Source organism: Homo sapiens, chromosome 3, assembly GCF_000001405.40.
Source record: "Homo sapiens chromosome 3, GRCh38.p14 Primary Assembly".
Lineage (NCBI taxonomy): Eukaryota > Metazoa > Chordata > Mammalia > Primates > Hominidae > Homo > Homo sapiens.
The window spans coordinates 80,565,571-80,587,116 of record NC_000003.12 but is presented as its reverse complement, the minus strand read 5'-3'; the positions used below and the strand labels follow the sequence as shown (position 1 = coordinate 80,587,116).

Genomic DNA, 21,546 nt, shown 5'->3' with positions numbered 1-21,546 from the left:
AATACTGAATTTGATATATACTTAATTCCATTTTATAATGTTTGAAATATTTTATTTGACTTACCTATAAATCTGAAATGTATTTGCTACCTTGCATAAAATAGTTTTTTACATTTACTGAATAGTTATTCATTGAATGACCTTTTTATTCTCTTAATGCTATTTGAATGCTATTTGATGCTCTCTTTTTCATTCATACAGATAATTTATTCCTGTGGAAATGCCCATTCCATTGCTTTCACTATTCTTAAGCCATTACTGATGTTTTATCATGACCAGCCTGTCTCTTTTTATAGAAAATGTATTATATATTTGCTATTTATTTTAGTCATATAATTTTTAGAAACATTTTTCCAAGTTCCAAAAACATACTACTGGTATTTTATTTTAAATTCACATAAACTATAAAGTAATTCAAACAATGGGCATGTATAAAAAATATTTTTATAGGCAAGAATATGGCATATATATCCATTAGTATATGTAAAATAGCCCATGCATTAGTTTATTAAATGTTGAAAAAAAAGTAAAAACCTGCTGGGAGAGCAGTCAGGAGCAACCTGCAGACCCTTGCTTAGTTGCGTAAGAGCTTGCCTTGGGCCAGCAACATTTTCTCATGTGGAGATAAGGAGTTGTGTGCTGGACGTATCACCTTTTGGAAGTGTATCTTTCCCTATTCTGGACTTGATGTGCATTTCTTTAATTTGCTTAGAAGCATGTGAATCAAATAGCACCTGCCCAACCTCACTGCTATGTCTGTTCCCAGTGGAGAGGGAACAGGGTCCCTCACCTGCAGCACAAGAGGGGTGTGTGCAGATAGTCTCCTTGTGTTGGCTGTGGAATGAGACCCACGGGCCATAGGGGATGGATACTCACTGTTTAAGCCGAGCCCTCGCTGTCTCTCTGTTGGAGTAAATCATTGTCCCATCCAGTGCCTATATGCATCTTCTTACTTGCATATCACACAGTGGCTTGACATCCTGGGACTGCTGCTCCTGGCGATAACCATTGCCATGCTTTTTGCTCTCTTTCCCTCAGTGGGACTTCTCCTCTGAAGGTGGTAACAAGTGTCACTTGCTCAATAGAAGCTTAATAGTAGCCACTATTAGACCCATTTTGTGGTGAAGAATTATTTTAAAAAGTATTTATAACTGTCTCATATCACCAAGCTATTAAGAAGTGGCTAATAGCATCAAGTTAATTACTTTTTGACACCAAAGTTTATACCTGTAGTCATCATGTTTCCTTTTTTTTTTTCTATCATTGTCATTAATATATTGTTGATTTTACCTTTCCACAATGTTATGGCTACTGTGTGTATAGTATCTATATTTTTTTTTTATTAAAGCATGCTGATTTAGGAGACATTAATAGGTAGATATCAAGGATAACAAATTCACATTGGGCCAAGAGAAACTAGAGAGCATCCATTAATATTTATATTTCCTGAACAATGATTAGCCTAGGAATTTTGTTACTTAGTAACATGGAAGATTCTTGATTCATTTACACTTGAAATGCAATCATTTAAATTAGTTCAGACAGATACCTAAGACACCTGTCTTTTTTTAACCTTACAAAAATAAGATTGGATTGCCCATCAAATTGCTCCTGTCTTATATGAAATTACTAATCCCAAATCTAAAGAGAGTGATTTATGTAAGTAAGGCAGTTTAAAAGAGAATAAAATATGAACAGCGAGACAAAATGAAAGTATAAAATTGTGCACACGTTTTACAAAGAGATAAAAAGGTCAAGAGTTTTCCTGGAAAGAACAGTAAAACCCCTGCAGTAATATGTTCCAATCCATAAGCTATAATTTCACAACAATGCCATAAAATATAATATGACTCATCAATCAGAATAGAATTTTTTGAATTAATTACACATAAATTCAAAAAGTTTTAGAAAATGGTATTGCATTGAACTATTTTTTCTTAATCATTATTATCAGTACATGCAAAGACAGGTTATATTACCATTCTCTAATTAAAATATTACCAACAAATGCAAATAATACTTCAAGGGAAGATCACAAATATAGTTGGAAAGGATCTACAAGGTACGATTCATGCCATGTCACCAGGAAGCTATTATATGAGCAAGGATCAGTTATTTCTTATTTTCATACTTCATCTTAAAATTGTGCTGATGGGTAATCAACATTTTGTTTTAAAACAGACCTTGATTTCTGATGACTATTAAGGTAACTAAGAGCCTTGGCAGCCCCTTAGTTGGTACTTTTGTTCATGTGTTTTATTGGCAGTATATTTGCCTAAAAAAAAGAAAATGACCCTTTTTAATATACATGAAGCCAATAAGGGAAATACCATATTGCAAAACAACTAATAGAATCCTCAGAATTGAGCATATACTCTGTGTCAGTTGCCGCTTGATACAACTCATTTAGTTCAGTAAAAAAATTAACGTTGAGAAAATATCAAAGACAACATGGGATAATGATTAAGAGCAAACCTTTACTGTCAGACTTCTATTTTACCATTGACGATCTGGGTAATCTGCCTGAAGTTAAAATTTTCTAAGTTCCTATCTCTATATCTTTAAGATGGATGCTTACAAAAAGATGGTGAACCATTTATTAGCTACAGTTTGCTAATTTAACAAAATATATTTTAGTGTCATTAAGTAAGCACACCCTCGATTATTGACACAATTAATTTATCCATGAATGTGATGCTTACAAAAAATGTGCAAAAAGAAAGTAATAATCTGTCTTAATACAGATTAAATATACAGGCTATATCTAATAATTTATTGAGGATGTTTATTTGAAAATGCTCCTTGAGGGCAAGGCTCTGAGACTAGATTCCAATTATAAAATTCATATACTCAAAAAAATTTTGTCAGTTAGGATTCTTTGACTAGGTGATTGCTATCCTTGGGGAAATTTTTAAATAGAAAATATTATAATCCAAATATTACTGATGGACATAGTAAGTTGCAAATTGAGGGGGCATCTCATAGACTGCACTAATGATTTTGCCAAAGGACAAATTCTCACCTTATATCCCCATGTCATACAATCTTACATAATGCCAGTGACAAGTAAGGCAGCCACCTCTATTTGGTTAACCCAAGCTGACTACTTATTACATTTATCTAAGAATTTTTCCAGCATCTCTCATAATATCCTGAGGGTAAAATGTAGGCCAACCAAGAGTATTACTGGTATCTGGCTGTAGATAATCATGTCATACTTCCCAATTGTGATATTTTACTGCCATTTTCCAGTTCTTCACTTCTTTGTTCCTTTCTAAATTACAAAGGCAATAAGACAGAATTTAAATAATTGACTTTCCACCTTATAATTTGGTCTGAGAAACAATTGGTAATAAAAGCATAAGTTATTATACTACGCATGGTATTTCTAACAAAGACAAATTGTGTTGTGTAGCAAAACTTAGTTGGAAGAAATTCATATTTGGAGTAGTGTAGAGTTTTATTCCTTTCAAAAATTTTCTCAGGAAATTGGAGAAGGAAAGGCTAAATGATTTCTGGGAATTGATGATGTATTACTTGTAAAACACTCAGTTGTACCTTCTTTTGGTCACTTGTATGTGGATATAAATAAAATAGCAGTTTGTGAAATATCCACATGCATAAAATCAAACAACACAGCCGCATCCATATTGGCACTAATGAAACCTTTAATTTGACTTCGTAGCAAAGGAATGCATTTCAGGCTTTATATAATCCGCAGTGTCACACCGTACTAATTTAATTCACCAAGCAATATGTTGATTTCATTCTTTAGTTTACTTCAATAGCTATATTCCATAACGTAAAAATGTTTTAAATAGATAGCAATTATTTGATTTTTTCTTTTGATTTATTACATCAAGCCTTATTTCAAATTGAAATGCAAACACCTATAGCTTTTTACTTAATTATCTGATAAATTAGTGCTTGTTGGATGGGTACATATACTGCCTTTCCCAACTCAATAGGAAGTTGCCAGTGCTTTTATGGAGAGGCAATATTTTCTCTTCTTCTGAATTTCTCAAAGGATCAGCAGTTAATATAGTATTTTCTGTAACAATTAAATTAAAGTGCTAGAGATTCGTTTCTCCATATGTTCAATTTTTTGATTAAGTAATGCCTTAAAGGACCATTTTAATAAGGTAAGTGCACTACCTGCATGAGCCAGACTTCACTTGTTAAATGATGAGTGGCTTCCTGCCATTGCATTTTCATGCAAAAATATTGGTTATACAAGCTTTATGTAGTAGAGAAAATACATACATCTATATAGACCGATTCTCAAAGATCAATACCAAAAGAATGTTTGCATATTCTACAGAAAAAAATTTAAAAATTATAGATAACAGTTTTATAAGCTATAAAGATAAAATAGCAACATTTATGAAATGAAAAGTTAAACAGAAACATATAATGTTCTGGAAATAAAAGATTACATAATGTGGCATTCATTTGACAATTTATTGTGTACTCTATCAAAATTTTAAAAGATTCCTATTAAAGCAAAGTATGATTAATAATCACATCACTAGAATATAAGAGACAAATTTTTAAATTTATGCAAACCTGCAAGGTCAAACAAAAGCTTTCATAATATGTGTAAATTATCTTGAGAAAATTCCAGCAGAGAAGAGGAAATTTCAGTGCATAACAGCATTTAAAAGCCTTTTACTTGTGGCCATGATGGAGTTCTTGGCCACCACCTTTACCTTCCTCCATGAGCAACTAAAAATCTGATAAAGTACATATGATGGTTAATACTGAGTGTCAACTTGATTGGGTTGAAGGATACAAATTATTGATCCTGGGTGTGTCTATGAGGGTGTTGCCAAAGAAGATTATTATTTGAGTCAGTGGGCTGGAAAAGGCAGACCCACCCTTAACCTGGGTGGGCACAATCTAATCAGCTGCCAGTGTCTAGAATGTAAGCAGACAAAAAAATGTGAAAAGAGAGACTGGCCAAGCCTCCCAGCCTACATCTTTCTCCTTGCTGGATGCTTCCCACCCTCGAACATCAGACTCCAGGTTTTTCAGTTTGGGAACTCCGACCAGCTCTTCTTACTCCTCAGCCTGCAGACAGCCTATTGTGGGACCTTGTGATTGTATGAGTTAATACTTAATAAACTCCCCTTTAGTTTAGAATAAATTCCATTAATTCTGTCCACCTAGAGAACCCTGACTAATACAGTACATTGTTTAAAAAAAAAAGACAATTAATTTCAGAACATGACTGTTGAGGAATAAGTTTTTTTTTTTTTTTTTTTTTTTTTTAATCTTGACCACATTTCTATCGAAAGGGTCTGGGGAGTCATGCCCTACAAACCATAAATTCTCATCAGATGGCTTTTATTTAAATCTATATATTGTGAGTTAGTTTCCATCCTGACTCTGGCATAACATTATGAGACAAGGAAAAAAATCAAAATATTTTACCCCAAAACATGTCTCTTTGCCATCTCTTGAAATGTCCCTGCAAAGCTGTCCTTTGTGGGGGAAAATGTGCATCTGTAAAAAATCTCTATTAGCATAGCTAGATCTTTTTCTTCCAGGCCCTCCCAATCCTGAAGGGATTAACTGAGAGTCCAACACCTTTTAAAGGTCTGAATAGAAAACACTTGTCATCTATTGTCTCTAAGGGCAGCCACTGTGAGACTTCAAAAGAACTGTGGTCTCCCCAGTCTTTTATCTTAACCTGAACATTTCCTTTCTGTTTATCCCAGGTCTTTGGAAAAACTCAACCAATTGTCAATCAGAAAATGTTTAAATTTACCTATAGCCTGGAAGCCACACCTCCCACCCCACCCCACTTTGAGTTGCCCCACTTTCTGAACCAAACCAATGTATTTCATAAATGTATTTGATTGATGTCTCATGCCTCTTTAAAATGTATAAAACCAATCTGTGCCCAGACCACCTTGGGCACATGCTTTCAGGACCTCCTGAGGGCTGTGTCATGGGCCATGGTCACTCATATTTGGCTCAAAATAAATCTCTTCAAATATTTTACGGAGTTTGACTCTTTTCGTTGACACAATAATTCATTAGAAAAAGAATTTCTTTAATGAAAACTGATGAATCCTACAATATCCTTGGCTTTCTGCCTGGAGGTAGCTTTTAGATAACGATACAGACTAGTAGCTTCAGTGGTTGAGGAAAAGATCAGAGTTTGAGAAGGTGGATGCACCTATAGTATGCCCAGTAGAAGACCAGACAGAAGGAAGGTACACAGAAAAGAGCATCTCCAAAAAACGGATGTGTTTACCCTTGGATCTGTAGCCCAATAATGAATAACAAGTGAGTAGGCTGTAACCCCATTAAAATAGACAAAGAATGACTTGGGAGATACAATCTGATCAATTTCCAGAGCTCATGTTAGGCTGGAAGATATTCTAGTGTGCTGACTAGCTGGTTTGGAGAATCCTAAGCGAACAACATCTACTGGACACTTAGTGGACACTGGGTGAATTTAGTGGATACGCAATACAGACCAAGCCTGAGTAAACCTGAATTATTCCTAGAATGAAGCCTACTTTTCAACTCACTAGCAGAGCATAAAATGAGCCTCAGAAAAATCCAGATAAAATGCAAGTATCAAAATTGCCAATTGGCCTGAAAGAAGTCCTATACTCTTTAAGGAGACACAACAATATTTAGTACTCTATCATATAAATTTTACAATGGCCAAACTCCTGCCAATATTTACTGGATTTGTACTAGTTCTGCGTCAGTTTAGAATGAGGAAAGCCAAGGTCACTCCCAACCTAACAATGGGAGAAATCTGGAAAATCTACAAAATCACATGTTTTGAATCCACTGAGATTGCAAAGCAACAAGTGAACTGAATTCCAAAGGCTTATAAGCCACTGAGGACAGAGAGGGAATGTGAACATTTTTTTATAACTGGAAAAACGTAGAAGAAGGAAGTGGCAGTCATAAAAGTAAATAAAACATCTGAAATTTCAGTGAATTATTAAAGACTGAGCATAAACTAGCATTAGAGTTTTGAACTGGTGGAAGTCCTAGGGACAAGAGGAGTTCACAACCACTCACTAGCCCTCTTCAGTGGGCCTTCAGTTAGTATCCATGAGAAAGGTTGAGAGCTGGGAATGAGGTCCGAGAAATCCCACTTGTTGAAATAGGTATGCAGAGGCTACTGAATTCTGAGATTAAAAGTAAAAGTACTAGTAGAACCATTTGTGCTCCAGGCCCTACATAGTTTAAGGTAGTGATCAGCTGCAGCTTAGAATAAACATAATATCTGCCAGCACCATGATCCTTCTTGGAAAAGAAGCAAAATCTGACTGATGCTGGAGAAAGAGCACCACTAACCTGATGCTGCTTGGCATGAGGAGAGGCAAATACTTGCGGAGAGATTAAGTCTGTGAAGCCAGTGTGCAGGTCTAGCTGAAAACTGAATATGAAGCAAGAATAATAAGAAAAATCATCTAGCACTTTTGGCCTCATGTTTAAAATAATGTAGAAGCTGTCAACCACAGAAAGAATGTGAAGCATATTATACACTGAACGTAGTTATGGCAACAATAATACTTAAATGAATATTAATTACAATCTAGATTGATTCAAGCCTACCAAGGAGAGAGCTGAAGGAAGAGGCAAATCCGTTTGTAAGAATACATATTAACTCTATTTCTATAGTTATTTTGCACACAATATCTGGCATATATAAAAATCTATGAAACACACAAAATAAGCAAGGATTATCTACTCTTTATGAAGAGATAAAGTACTCAACATATATAGGAATAGGTATGTCCAGACATTGAAACTATCAAACATGGTTGATAATGTAAGTATAATTCATGTGTTAAAAATATAGTGAAAGAAGTAGACAGTAAAGATGGAGAAGTGAGAAATTTCATTAGAATAAAATAAACTATAAAAAGTCAAAATACTAAAAGTTGAAAATATGGTATCAAAAATGAAGAATTTCTACAGTGAGTGGAGCTATCAACAAACTGGACAACTGGACTCACTAGAGGAAAGAGTGAGTAAAGTTGAGGATAGGTCCATCAAAATTACACAAACTGAATCACCTAAAGAAGCAAGCAAGCAAACACACAAAGAATCAAAACAGATCAGAGATTCTGAAAGGAAAATATCAAATACCTAATATATATGTAATTTTAGTTTTAGAAGCAGAATAGAGAGAAGACAAGAAAATATACACAAAATATATGGGCTAACAATTTTCCCAGCTTAATGAAAAATACTAAATTTCATGTCCAAGAAGTTCAGAGAATCTCAAGCAAGATAATTATATAAAAAAACACACCGAGGCACATTATAGTAAAACTGTTGGAAGTCAAAGATAAAGAGAGGTTTTTGCTTTTGTTTTGGTCAACAAGAATGACATGACTGTTTTGGTCAACAAGAATGAAAATGAAAATACACTTTTATGTATTACATAAAAGTGAAAATAACAAATTCCTATTTCTGGCCAAGATATAGAAGCAGTGTCCTGAATTACCTCACTATTTGCAACAACTATAAAAGAAAGGTAAAATATCTTAAACAAAGATAATACAAGCTATTAGATTTTAATCAGCAAAACATAATAATGTTTGAAGACAGGAAACAAATGAGGTAAACTCTACAATTATCTCAGCTTATTATAATACCTGAAAGGATTCTCCAATGTAAACTATGCTAAGAACATTTCATTTGTAATTGATTTTTATTCTCCCCAGAAGTAAGATTGCTGAATCACATCACATATATTGTCAAGGTTGTTGATACAATTTAACAAATTTCTCTTCAGGTTTTCCATTTCAGTAAGTATACATATCACCAGTATCTAAGTGTATTATTTTGAAATTGTGTTACAATTGCCTTGTTTTTGTTTGCATCTAACACATCTGCAGGGGAGAATTCTATTCAACTTTTGTATCCCAAAGCCTAGCATAGCCTAAACTTTTAAAATATGCAGTAACTAGCATTCAGTAAGACTACCTAACAGTACATGAAATGCACGTGACAGGCATTCTACAAGTACAAAATTATACCATATAACCTGTGACTGCAAATATCTCTGAACTAAGAAAGATGACATGCATACTCACTACCAGCTGATGAGTCAGAAGTATCAGATAAGGTGGTATGAACGCTAAATATTTAGAAAGTAGAATAAAACGATCAAAAGCACATCAAAAATTGCATACTAAAAAGTTGGTTTTTAAGCTGGTTCTTGAGTGGACATAAAATATCAGTGTGGACAGTGAGCTTTCAGAAGGCATTGTGCCTTAAGAAAAATGGCAAAACTGGTTAGTTTCGTAAGTGTTTTTGCTAGGGATTGGTAGTAAAGCTGGTTGAAAAGTTGCTTAGACAGAAAATTGTAAGTGTTTGAAAACCAAACCTAGGAGCTGAGACTTTCTTTTTGTGTTTATTGTTGGTTGGTTGGGTGGTTGGCTGGTTGGCTGGTTGATGCTGATAGTAGTGTTTTTGCTTAAACAGTAAAGAGAAGTGATCAAAAATTTTGCTTGCTTATTTTATTTATTAATTTTTAGACTAATCTGCTAACAATATGCAGGGTGAATTAGATGTGAATAAAATGATGAAAGAACACTAGAGAGACAAACTGGATATTAGGAGGCTATCTAAATGAGGTAAATAAAATATTAAATCAACACACACTAAGTTATAGCATAACATAACTTATATTGGAAGTAGATTAGCTGATAATTAGAAGGCAGGCATCGAAGCAGATTTATGTAGTTCTTCCTTTCACAATAAGAAAATCTTCCCTTGGCTTTTCTTATTCTTATTCTTATTTTTTTTTAAGATGGGGTCTCGCTCTGTTCCTAGCTTTTCTTATTCTTAAAGATTAGTGACACCTGTTTATAATTCCTCAGCCATGATAAAATATCATTTATTGGTTGAAAGTCTTGACTTAGTCTAGTTTGTGTTAGAATCTAATAATTTTGCATATGCTAGTTTGAGTCTCCTGAAAAATAAGTAGTGCAATATAGTAGGATAATATTGTCAATAGAAAGGGATCAATGATGCACATAATTGAGAAAAAGAAAATAAGAAAGTAATCCTGATTTTGTTTTCATAATCAAAATTAATGAAGTGGATTATTGCTCAATTATTTGGATAATGAGTCAAATAAATAACTACATTATTAATAGAAAGATTATTTAGGCAAAGCAATATACACATTAGTTAACCAATGACTCAGAAGCATTGAGAAAATGATGGACTTATTACTTCAATTTTCACAAAAAAGAAATTTAACATGGGAAAATAGAAAGAAGTAAAACAAAATTAAATAGAAATAAGAATTGGAGTGAAAGAATAAAATATGTCTTTCATAATAAAACTTTACTTTTTTTGATAATACATCATTGTATTTAACCTACTCAGAATTGTATTGATCTTATTAGAATGAATATAAAATACTATTATATTGTGAATAAATTTTAAAATCTACTGGCTTCAGAGTACAATTGAATAATCTATAATCACTTAAGTTAAATATTATAAGGCTAATTATATACTAAAGCAATATATTTTTTCTTCCTAAGTAATGCACAAAAATAGTTAAAGTACTAGAAAGCTAACAATGGTAGGAGTTAAAACATTAGCTTTATGAAAGAAACTAGCTAAGTAGCTGGATTTTATATTTTACGTGTGTGTCTGTGTGTATAATGCTTGATACGTGATAGTAATTATGTGAATCTTATGTTGAACTTAACCTAAGAAAGACATCAAGAAGTTAATCAAGAAAACAAGTGACAAGTTATAACTTGCAAATTTAAAGACTGTATATACACCTTTCAAAGAGGTTATTGGGGTTATTAGTCTGAATTTTCCAAAGAGGTTATCAAGGATAAATATTTTGAAGTTTCTTTTGAATTTAAATTTTTCAGATAGAAAAATATAATTTATTTATATGAATCCTTATTTTTGAGTTCTTGAAGCTTACAATATAAGGTTAAGTAAAAAATAATATTCACAACTTTATACAAAATATTTTCCAAAATTAAAACATACCTTTTAATATATTCATGATTAATATATATCACTCAGATTATAAAGATTCCATAATCTTTCTCCTCTTCCTTCTCTTCTTCCTCCTGTTTCTCCTCCTCCCCTTCTTCCTCATCATCATTGCTTCTGGAGGGGTAGAACTAAGCATTCATTCCTCATTCATTCCTTCATTCATTTTACCTTAACCATAGATTGTGTAAAAATAAGAACATTACATTTAAAAATGCACTTAACAATTTTATTTTGCAATCAAATATGGGAAATAGGCAACTTTTAAACTGCATCAACATTAAAAATACTCCATAATAGAATGAATAGCAAAGACAGCATTCACATATTCTAAAGCTAGCCAAAATAATTTTGTTCTCAATGTGATATACAACCAATATTTTAATACATGTTATTCTATGAAATATTAATTTCTGAAAAGATAGTATTAGGACTTCATTAATAAAATTATCTTATTGCAAAACTGAATAAAACTAAAATAAATTGTATTAGAAAATATTGGGGTAGCGCACGAATCTCAGAGGGGCATGAAAAATCAACTGTCATTAGTGCAAGGACTTCAGAAACCTTCAGGTGTGTTGGCTTAATTCTATCAGCAAATTCTCTCAGCAACAAAATAGAATCCCTGGAAGTCTGTATGTGATATTTTTACAGAGTTGTGTAAATGTATATTGTGTGGAAGACTCTTCTGGTTCTATTTTGAGAAACTCTGGGAAATTATTCCACTGGTCTGATTAGGATAAGGTGTGTTTCATCAATGAATCAATCTCACTTTGACCAGAAAAGTGAGGGTGGTGATGACAAGGCTCATATAAAGAGACTGTCACTCCCTTTTGGACAACTTAGCTAGATCACAGAAAGTATCCATTCTCCAAATAATGAGAGGCTATTTTAGAAGTAGTGATTGCACCAAATTGAGAAATTAATTAATGTACGGTTAAAATTTGCATGAAGTTTCACATACATACTAACAATAGTTTTGAATTATATTACTATCAGGTTGGTGCAAAAGTAATTGCACCAACGCACAATTACTTCCTAATAAGTGAGAAATTGAGCAAATTCTTAAAGAGATATACAAGTTTTGAAAAATAATGGAGTGAAACAAATATATGTGAGTTCCAATGAACTAAAAGTATCCTTTGAATCAATAGTAGGTCCAATATTATGGGTCTTTTGTCAAATGCATAGTTTGCAAATATTTTTTGCCATTCTGCAAGTTGTCTCTTCACTCTGTAGATTAAAAGCTTTTTCTTTAATTAAGTCTCATTTATCTGTTTCTAGTTTTTTGCTTTGGTTTTTGAGGTATTTTTCATGTATTTTTTGCCTATATCATTGTCCATAAGTGTGTTCCCTAGGTTTTTGTATAAGATTTTTATAGTTTCAGATCTTACATTTAATTTTTGGATCCATTTTGCATTGATTTTTGTCTATAATGAGAGATAGGGGTCCAGTTTTATTATTTTGCACTTGGCAATATTCCTGACACCATTTAATGAAAAGAATGTCCTTTACCAAGTGTATGTTTTTATTGACTTTGTCAAAGATTAGTTGGCTGTACATATGTGGCTTTACTTCTGGGTTATCTATTCTTTTCCATTGGTCTATGTGTCTGTTTATGTACTACTACCATGCTGTTTTCCTTACTGTAGTTGTATAGTATAATTTGAAGTCAGGTAATGTTATGCCTCCATTTTTGCTTGTTTTGTTTAGGATAGCTTTGGTTCGTCAGGCTCTTTTGTGACTCCATATGAATTGTAGGACTGTTTTTCTAATTCTGTGAAAAAAGATATTGGTATTTTGATAGGGATTGCATTGAAACTGTAAATTGCTTTGGGCAGTATGGTCATATTAACAATATTATTTGTTCTGATCCACGAGAATGGGAAGTGTTTGTTTGTGTTACCTATAATTTGTTTGTCCATTTGTTTGTTACCTATAATTTCCTTCATCAGTGTTTTGTAGTTTCCCTTGAGCAGATATTTTTACTTCCTTGATAAAATATATTCCTAGGTGTTTTATTTTCCTGTAACTATTGTAAATAAAATTGCCTTTTGATTTGGTCCTAGCTTGGTCTTTAGGGGTATAAAGAAATGCTACTGATTTTTGTACATTAATTTTGTATCCTGAAACTTTACTGAATTAATTTATCAAATCTAATAATTTTTGGAGGAGTCTTTCTGGATTTTTAGGTACAACATCATATCATCAGCAAGCAGAGATAATATGGCTTCCTATTTTCCAATTTGGATGCCTTCTATTTCTTTCTCTTGCCTGATTTATCTGGCTAGAAATTCTGCTACTATGTTGAATAGGAGTGGTAAAAGTCGGCATTCTTGTCTTGTTCCAGTATTCATGGGAACTGCTTTCAACTTTTCCTCGTTCAGTATGATGTTGGCTATCAGTTTGTCATCTACAACCTTTATTATTTTGAGGTATAGTTCTTCAGTGCTGCAGGTTTTTATCATGAAGATACGCTGAATTTTATCAATGCTTTTTCTTCATCTATTGAGATGATCATATGTTTTTTGTCCTTAATTCTACGTGACGAATCACATTTGTTAATTTTCATATGTTGCACCATCCTTACCTTCCTGGAATAAAACCCAGTCTCACCCTGAAACCAAAGCCAGACAAAAATACAACAAAAAAACGAAAAGTACAAACTCATATGCCTGATAAATATCGATGCAAAAATCTTCCCCCAAATACTAGCAAACCAAATTGAACAGCATATCAAAAGGAAATACACCATGATTAGGTAGGTTTTAACACCCTGTATCTCTATTAATTTTCTAGACTCTAACTATTTTCCTTATGCTTTCTGTTCCTCTCAACATTACAGGCACACTGGCTTTTAATTTCCTGAGTGTGCTATGTCCCCTCCTGCAGTCTTTGCACAATCTGATCTCTGTTTTGAAGAATTGTAACTTTTTCAATACTCTGACTTTGATCACCGTTTTTATCTCTTATGTCTAAGTAAGAATATAACCCATGGTAAGTGATCACTAGATATTTAGTGAATGAAAGAAAAAATCATCAAATAAAAAATGAGACATGTTCTAGAATCATGAGCATGGCTTAATGTATCATCAAACTTGGAAGAAATGGTGGTGACAGATATAGGCAGGAGATACTTAAGGCTGCCAAATATTACAAGAAAGACAAGCAAAACCATACAATAAAATAAAATGTCTTAGGTGGTATGATTGTTTTTTGTACTAGAAAAAGTACTAGGGATTGAGAAGCTAGGACAATGGTGAGGGCCTTTCTGCTGATTAGCTTCATATCCCTTTCTTTTGGACTTTGCAGTACTATATGTAATGCAAGTCAAAGGGCATTTAGGATGTGGTTACAAATGTACCACTATATAGGGACTGTCAGATTCCTGCCCCCGCCCCAACTACCATTGTGCTCTTTTTTTCTTTTTTAATATTAGCTCTCTAAAAATCTTGTAGAAATTGTCATGTCTGTGAGAGGCTTTTATTAAATGATGAATGATTTTTGTAAAACTTTGGTGATTAATTTTCTCTCCAATGTCATTGATTCTGCAGTTCTAAGGACAGGGTTTGTGTTTGTGGAAAAGTAGGGAGAAGGACCCTCTCCTAATCTCTTTAACTCAATTCCTTATTAGACCCAATTCTGTTTTAGATTTCACTGTTCCTTTAGCTCCTTGTGTTCTGACCCCTCCTTCAGATCACTAAGGAAACAGTCCTGGTGGGCTATAAAATCTTTGTCATCACCTCCATTGTCTGTACATTCTCAATCCTGTCTAGTCTCCAACTAAAATGAAAATAATAATAAGGATAACAATAATAAAATTAATGTCACTTTTTATAGCAATGCATTTAAACAGATAAGGATTAAAGCAATGGTGGAAGGAGTTGAGTCAATGATGTAATGTCTAAGCCTCATCTTTAGCAGCCAGAATACCCTGTTACGATGAGATAATTCTACCCACTTCAGAGACTACTAGGATGACCAAATAATCACTGTGCTCTTACCACTTATCTCCTACTCAAAGCCATTGCTCCAGTATTTGTCTAATTTCCTTCAAGATCATTAATTTTCTTCATTTACTATATATTATGCCAAAGCACGTAAACATGTCCCAATTTGTCCCACATTGAAAAAGGAGAGAGAAACTCTCTTTACTTTAAATACTTTTATTGCTACTGTCATTTTTTTGCCTTCTTTCCATCAGTGCTTTTTAGTACAGCAGTCTGTACTCTCTGTCTCCAATTTCACTCCTCTAATTGTTTCCTGAACTTAGTGCAGACACATTTTATTTCTACTGTTATATCAAAACACCTCTAGTAAAGGCCAACAAAAATCTCCTGGATGTTAACTCTAATAATTAATATTCAGGACTCATAATTGAATTATCTAGAGCCTGTGGCACACATAATTACTCATGTCATTTTTTCCACTTGGTTTTCAATACCATACTTTCTCTCGTTTCTTTGAATGCTCCTTCATCATCAGCTTTTTTTTTATTCCTTCTCTATCTCCCAGTCTGTAAATATGGTATGCCCCAGGCTCAATTCTCAATCCTCTTTGTTTCATTGTCTATACTTCCTACTTGCCTGAGATTTTTATTGATCTCATGGTTGTAAATATCCTCTAATCCCTATTAGTCCTATGCATCATTTTTCTGAAGATCTCCTCTTGGAATTTCAGACGTGGATGTCCAGTGGTTTAGATGACACCCACAATAGCTTCCTGTCCCTCTTTCTGCTATTGTCCTTCTACAGTGACTCTCAAAACAGTAGCTAGAATTAGCCTTTTGAAAAGTTCAGTCACTTCCTCTGTGTTAAAAAAAAAAAAAAAAAAAAAAAGTATAGACTTTTATCTTATCCAAAATAAAGACAGGGCACGTTAGATGGTCCAGGTGTTACTTCTGCCTCATCTGCTACTACATTCCTCCCTGTTCTTTCAGGTCCAAGAATGCAGCTACCATGCAATGTGATTCTTTATACACGCTAATAACACTCTTGTCTTATGGTCGTTGTACATATAATTTTCTCTTCTTGAAAGTATTTTCCCCTTGATACTCTACATGGCTGTCTTCTTTGTTGCTTTCAGATCATTATTTAATATCACCACTTCAAAAAGGCATACCCTAATCTAAAGCAATACCTTGTTTGCTGCACTAGACTTATTGGCCTTTGCTGAGTTTTTTTTCCTGTAGAACTTCTTACCATCTCACATTCCATCTATTGACTTATTTGTATTTGCTTATGTTTATTTTCCCAAGTAGAAGATAAATGCAGTGAGTTACTGTATTAGTCCATTCTCATGCTGCTATGAAGATTTCTTCATAGCATACCCGAGACTGGGTAATTTATAAAGAAAAGAGGTTTAATTGACTCACAGTTCCACATGACTGGGGAGGCCTCAGGAAACTTAACAGTCATAGCAAAAGGCACGTCTTCATAAGGCAGCAGGGGAGAGAATGAGTGCCCAGTGAAGAGGGAAGCCCCTTATAAAACCATCAAGTCCTGTGAGGCGTAACTCACTATCACGCAGCTGACCCGTGATTCCATTATCTCCACCTGGTCCCTCCCACGATACGTGGGGATTATGGGAACTACAATTCAAGATGAGATGTTGGCAGGGACACAGCCAAACCATATCAGTTAGTAATGCTTTTTTTTTTTTTGAGACGGAGTATCTCTCTGTCGCCCAGGCTGGAGTGCAGTGGCGCGATCTCGGCTCACTGCAAGCTCCGTCTCCCGGATTCACGCCATTCTCCTGCCTCAGCCTCCCGAGTAGCTGGGACTACAGGCGCCCGTCACCACGCCCGGCTAATTTTTTTGTATTTTTTTTAGTAGAGACGGGGTTTCACCATGTTAGCCAGGATGGTCTCGATCTCCTGACCTCATGATCTGCCCGCCTCGGCCTCCCAAAGTGCTGGGATTACAGGCGTGAGCCACCAGGCTCGTCCAGTAATGCTTTTTCTTTTGTTAACTGCTGTAAAACCAGAGACCAGAGCACTGCGTGGTATACTCACTAGTCTTCTAATTAATGAAAATAAGTAAGATATCTAAAAATGATCTATACAATTAAATTACATTTTAGAAATATTATATTTCGGTTTTTAACATTAATGGGGAGCTGGCCATTACCTTTCCCTGTTTCTCTCTCTGTAGTGAGGTAGTTAAACTAGATAATATTTAAAGATGTGCCTTCAATATTCTATAATTGCAATATCTAGTAGAAATAGCTTTTTGATGGCTTTCTGTTCTGATTGATGCTTAAATTAACTTAATTACCCAAACAGGAAAATTATGGTTGTAAGATCATAATTTTGATTTCCTACAAAATGAAGGCAATAAATTAAAAAATCCTCATACAAAAATTTACTTGAAAGTAACTTCACTAAAACTTATCTAGATTATCACATAATGGGTTCTCAAGAGTCTATTTACCATCAGGTAAATTGCTATTTTCTGCTGTATTTCAAAAATGCTTATTTTTTAGTATTTACTTTCAGTGTAATTTTTGTGTATTTACCTAAGCTAATATAGAGTCTCTGTCTGTATAGTATAAACTTTTAAATGTCTGAGCTTGTTACTTTTGATTTAAAAGAAATACCTTCAAAACGTAAATAATTTTTAATACTTAACCGATACATAAAGCACATGTATCTCTGTAAAAGCAATGCTTCTGACATTTGCATTTAACAAGAGAAAATTATCACAAACCTAGACTTATTGGATTTTTGATAGTATGAATCAATGCCCTTGTGGAAAAATAGATTACAGCAAAACTATAAAATATTTATTCTGTAAAAATAACGTACTAGGTGCATCAAGTTCAATAAAAAGCCATATAAACTCATCATGTTAACATGCACATTTTGTTAAACACTAAATAATTTAACACATATGAAAAATTCAGAGAATGTTAAATAGCTATGCTGTTCCTTCACTCATTTCAGTTTAACTGATTCTGCTGCTATCCAAGTAAAGCTTATTCATAGAAAAATAAAGGTGGTTTATTGCCCATCTTTCTTACAGAGTTCTCATAAGAGCACAGATGCACAAAATTACAATATTTAAGGAAAAAACAAGTCTGTATCCTTCAGCCCATTCTTAATTTATTTTACATTTTTCCAAATAATTCAACACCTGCCATTTTCTTGTTTGTCTGACTAAATTTGAAGAAAATAGACCATTTTATTGTATGGATAAATGCAACTTACCCTTTCATAAAATATTACATCTTTCAAAATTTTTAAATTATCTCCAACTGTATTTATGTTTCAGGAATTGATACTTTGTAACCATGTCAGAATAGTTTAATCAATTTGTATTTCTATTTTGATATTTCTTTCTATGTTTAATCATAAATAGGGTTTACTCCAATGTCTCTTGCTTCCCCATAGCACTTTCATCCTTGTTGCCTCATCTGTCAACAAAATACTCTCCATACTCTTTTCCTTTCTTATTTCCTGTATATTCTTACATATTTTAATTTTTATTATTACTCTTTTGGGCATGTGAAATCTTCATTCAAACTCATTACAAACATTTCAGAATCTGACCTTAGTCACATTTTGTATTTCTTTTGTGTTTTTTTTTAAATAATAGTAGTAATAACAATGAATAGTAATAGCTATCCATTCTATCTAACTATCCCAGCTGTCTAGTTGGGAAAATAAACAGTACATATCTATTGCTATCACTATTATTATCTAAAAAACTGAATGCCTAGTTTCGGTATGAAAATAAAGCTGTAATGAAGTTTCAGTTTATGGCAAAACCCTCCCTCTATCTTCCCTACAACATTCTAAAACTTTAAGTCTATTATTATATCTCTTTATGAACCATTATTGAAAATCAAAGAGATGAACTTCCAGCAGTAGAAATCAAATCAAAATTAAATATTTATAAATTGAGACATGGTTGTATAAAACATTACAAGACCTTTTCTAACTTCCTTTGGACTATAAAATTTAGGAATTAAGTACATTCTACACTTGAAGACTCACACTACTGTCCCTATTTCCTATCGTATTTCTTTTAGAAGTACCAGAAAATGATTTTTTCACTAAAAAGTTTACCACAAAATTCAGAAGGACTTTTATGCATTATTAAAAAGATAAATTAATAATGATTCTTAATTTTCCATCAATTTGTCCACATTTCCATTTTTACATTATACACTATTCTTCAAGAAAAATCCTATTGAACACAACTTACAATTTCTTATCTCAATTTATTCATTATTAAATTATCCTCACTTGTAATACCTTTTTCCATATAAATCAGCTGTTACATTGCACTTTACTGATTGAGAATAGATAAAATGCAATACCTATCTATGCATCTATCTATATGCATTCTATCTGTATTTCTACTCTGAGATATATATATCATACTATATATATTATTTCATATCAACTCTATATATATCAGAGTAGACATAAATATGTCATATATTGCTTATGTTTTATATTTGTGTGTGTGTGTGTATATATATATATATAATGTGTGTGTGTATATATATATATAAAATGTATGTGTAAAAACACCCAGATGTTTCTGTATTTCCACTTTGATAAATATATAGCAACATATGAGTGTTTGTTATTTTGTTAAGTTAGTAAAAAAATGTAACATGTATTTTAAAGATTTTATTGTTTAAATCAGGTGATTCTGTAAATAATAATGATAGTAGTGGTATAGAAGAGGCATATTATATTTTTTTTAGCAAAACAGTAGAGGATTTGGAAATTTTCTTCAACATAAAGGGTTAGAGAATAGTATGTGTTGATGGAAAAAAATAAGAAAAGATGAGGTCCTTTATGTAAGTGAAAGGGACAATAGTTTAGAAATGGTTTAGAAATAGTTTAGAAATAGTTAGAAATAGTTTAGAAATGGTGATTAGAATATGTAATGGGGCATGGGAGAATAGCAGTCTAGATTTTAAAGGACTTCAGGGAAGACAATATCCTCACAGTCCAGGATTGGATTAAAACATGATTTTGCTTGGGGACATACCATGACTTTCAGAAGACACAGTTGAAAATATTATGGGAGTCAAAGAGGGCAAGAATATTGAATAAAATAGGAGGTATGAAATAAACAAGGAAGATGAAAGTCTGGGTGATGATGGATTATCAAAGGTGATTAGATTTCAGATGTTACGTTTAGAAGTAAGACAAACATGAAGGAATTATTTCTTATGACTTCCTAGGGGAAGCAGGCCTCTTCCTTGGAATCTATTTCTTAAAACTTGGAAAGTAGGACCATTTGTAACTTGAGTAAGGGCTGATTAGCTAGAGGAAGAACTTGGGATCTGTGGGCATTGCTCATATTTGTCTGTGAATAGTGTTAGTAAAGCAAGCAATTTTCTGACTACTGGTATTTGGAGCGCTGAAGATCTAGCTTGAAATCAGTACATTTTGGATTATTTAGGCTTCCTGTATAAATATGAAGGCCAAGGTGTTCAATGCTGATTCATGGTCAAGTAAGTCAAGAATAGACAGCGTTCCAAATACTTCTGTCAGTGGTGTAGGAGAAAACGAAGGAAGTCATTATATGTCTTCATATAATTCTCTCATGCAGCTAACATCAGGGAGAAAAACTAAATAGATAGATCTATCTTGTGCCCAGGCTAAAACAAAGTTCTGAAGTTAGTATTTTCCCCTTCACATTAGCTTAATTAACTGGACCTATATCATCGATATGCTGCTTTTAAATGAGGACTTTAATAGGATTCTGCCTCACAGGTGTTCTCCTTTTAGTGTTTGTTTGTTTATGTTTCTTATAATAGTGGAGGTTAACTGGTGTTGATAAATGCCTGAGGTACTTCAGGCAATTATAGCAAAAATACCATATACTGAGTAGCATAAACTACAGAAATGTGTTTTTCATAGTTTCAGAGGCTAGGAAGTCCCAAATCAAGTGCCAGCAAACCCAGCAGATCCAGTGTCTAGGGAGGGCACATTTCCTGGTTGGCAGGTGGCTGTGTTCTTGCTGTATCCTTACATTGTAGAGAAGGATATAATTCCTCTAGTGCCTCTTCTTATAAGGGCGCTAATCCTGTTCATGAGGGTTCCAGTCTCACAGTTTAATTATCTCCCAGATGTCCCACCTTCATATACCATCATATTGGCTATTAGTCTTAAACAGCTGAAGAGGTACCATACTTATACCACACTCTTCCCCTAAGAAGATTAAATCTTATTTTCTTTTTTTACTTTGTATTTTGTGTTGATATTGAGGTTATCTAATGCACTTATGAGTGGGAGACAAATTTAACATTTATCTTGTGGGATGATGTTCTCTAAATTAAAATGAAGGCAATATACAGTAATACTTTAAGAAATCAGGCAGCTGTGAAGGGGATATTTTTGAAGTTTACTATCACAACGTTATTCTTTACAAACCTGTCACAGGTGTTGTTGTGTTTTGTTTATTTCTTCGTTTTGAGACGGCGTCTTCCTCTGTCGCCCAGGCTGGAGTGCAATGGTGTGAACTCTGCTCACTGGAACCTCCGCCTCCCAGGTTCCAAGCA

The 21,546-nt window shown here is 33.4% G+C and overlaps 1 long non-coding RNA gene across 2 annotated transcripts in view, besides 1 other annotated feature; it reads left to right on the top strand.

Annotated features, from left to right (window-relative positions):
- LOC105377177 (uncharacterized) overlaps nucleotides 1-21,546 on the top strand; it is a 250,124-nt gene that overhangs the window by 183,232 nt on the left and 45,346 nt on the right. The gene's annotated exons all lie outside the window — the stretch shown is intronic.
- Nucleotides 5,290-6,051: an enhancer, noted in NCBI's record as "OCT4-NANOG hESC enhancer chr3:80630216-80630977 (GRCh37/hg19 assembly coordinates)". NCBI's record gives its function as "activates a minimal SCP1, AML or CMV promoter by ChIP-STARR-seq in naive H9 embryonic stem cells {active_cell/tissue: H9 hESC(naive)}" and the evidence as "EXISTENCE:reporter gene assay evidence [ECO:0000049][PMID:30033119]".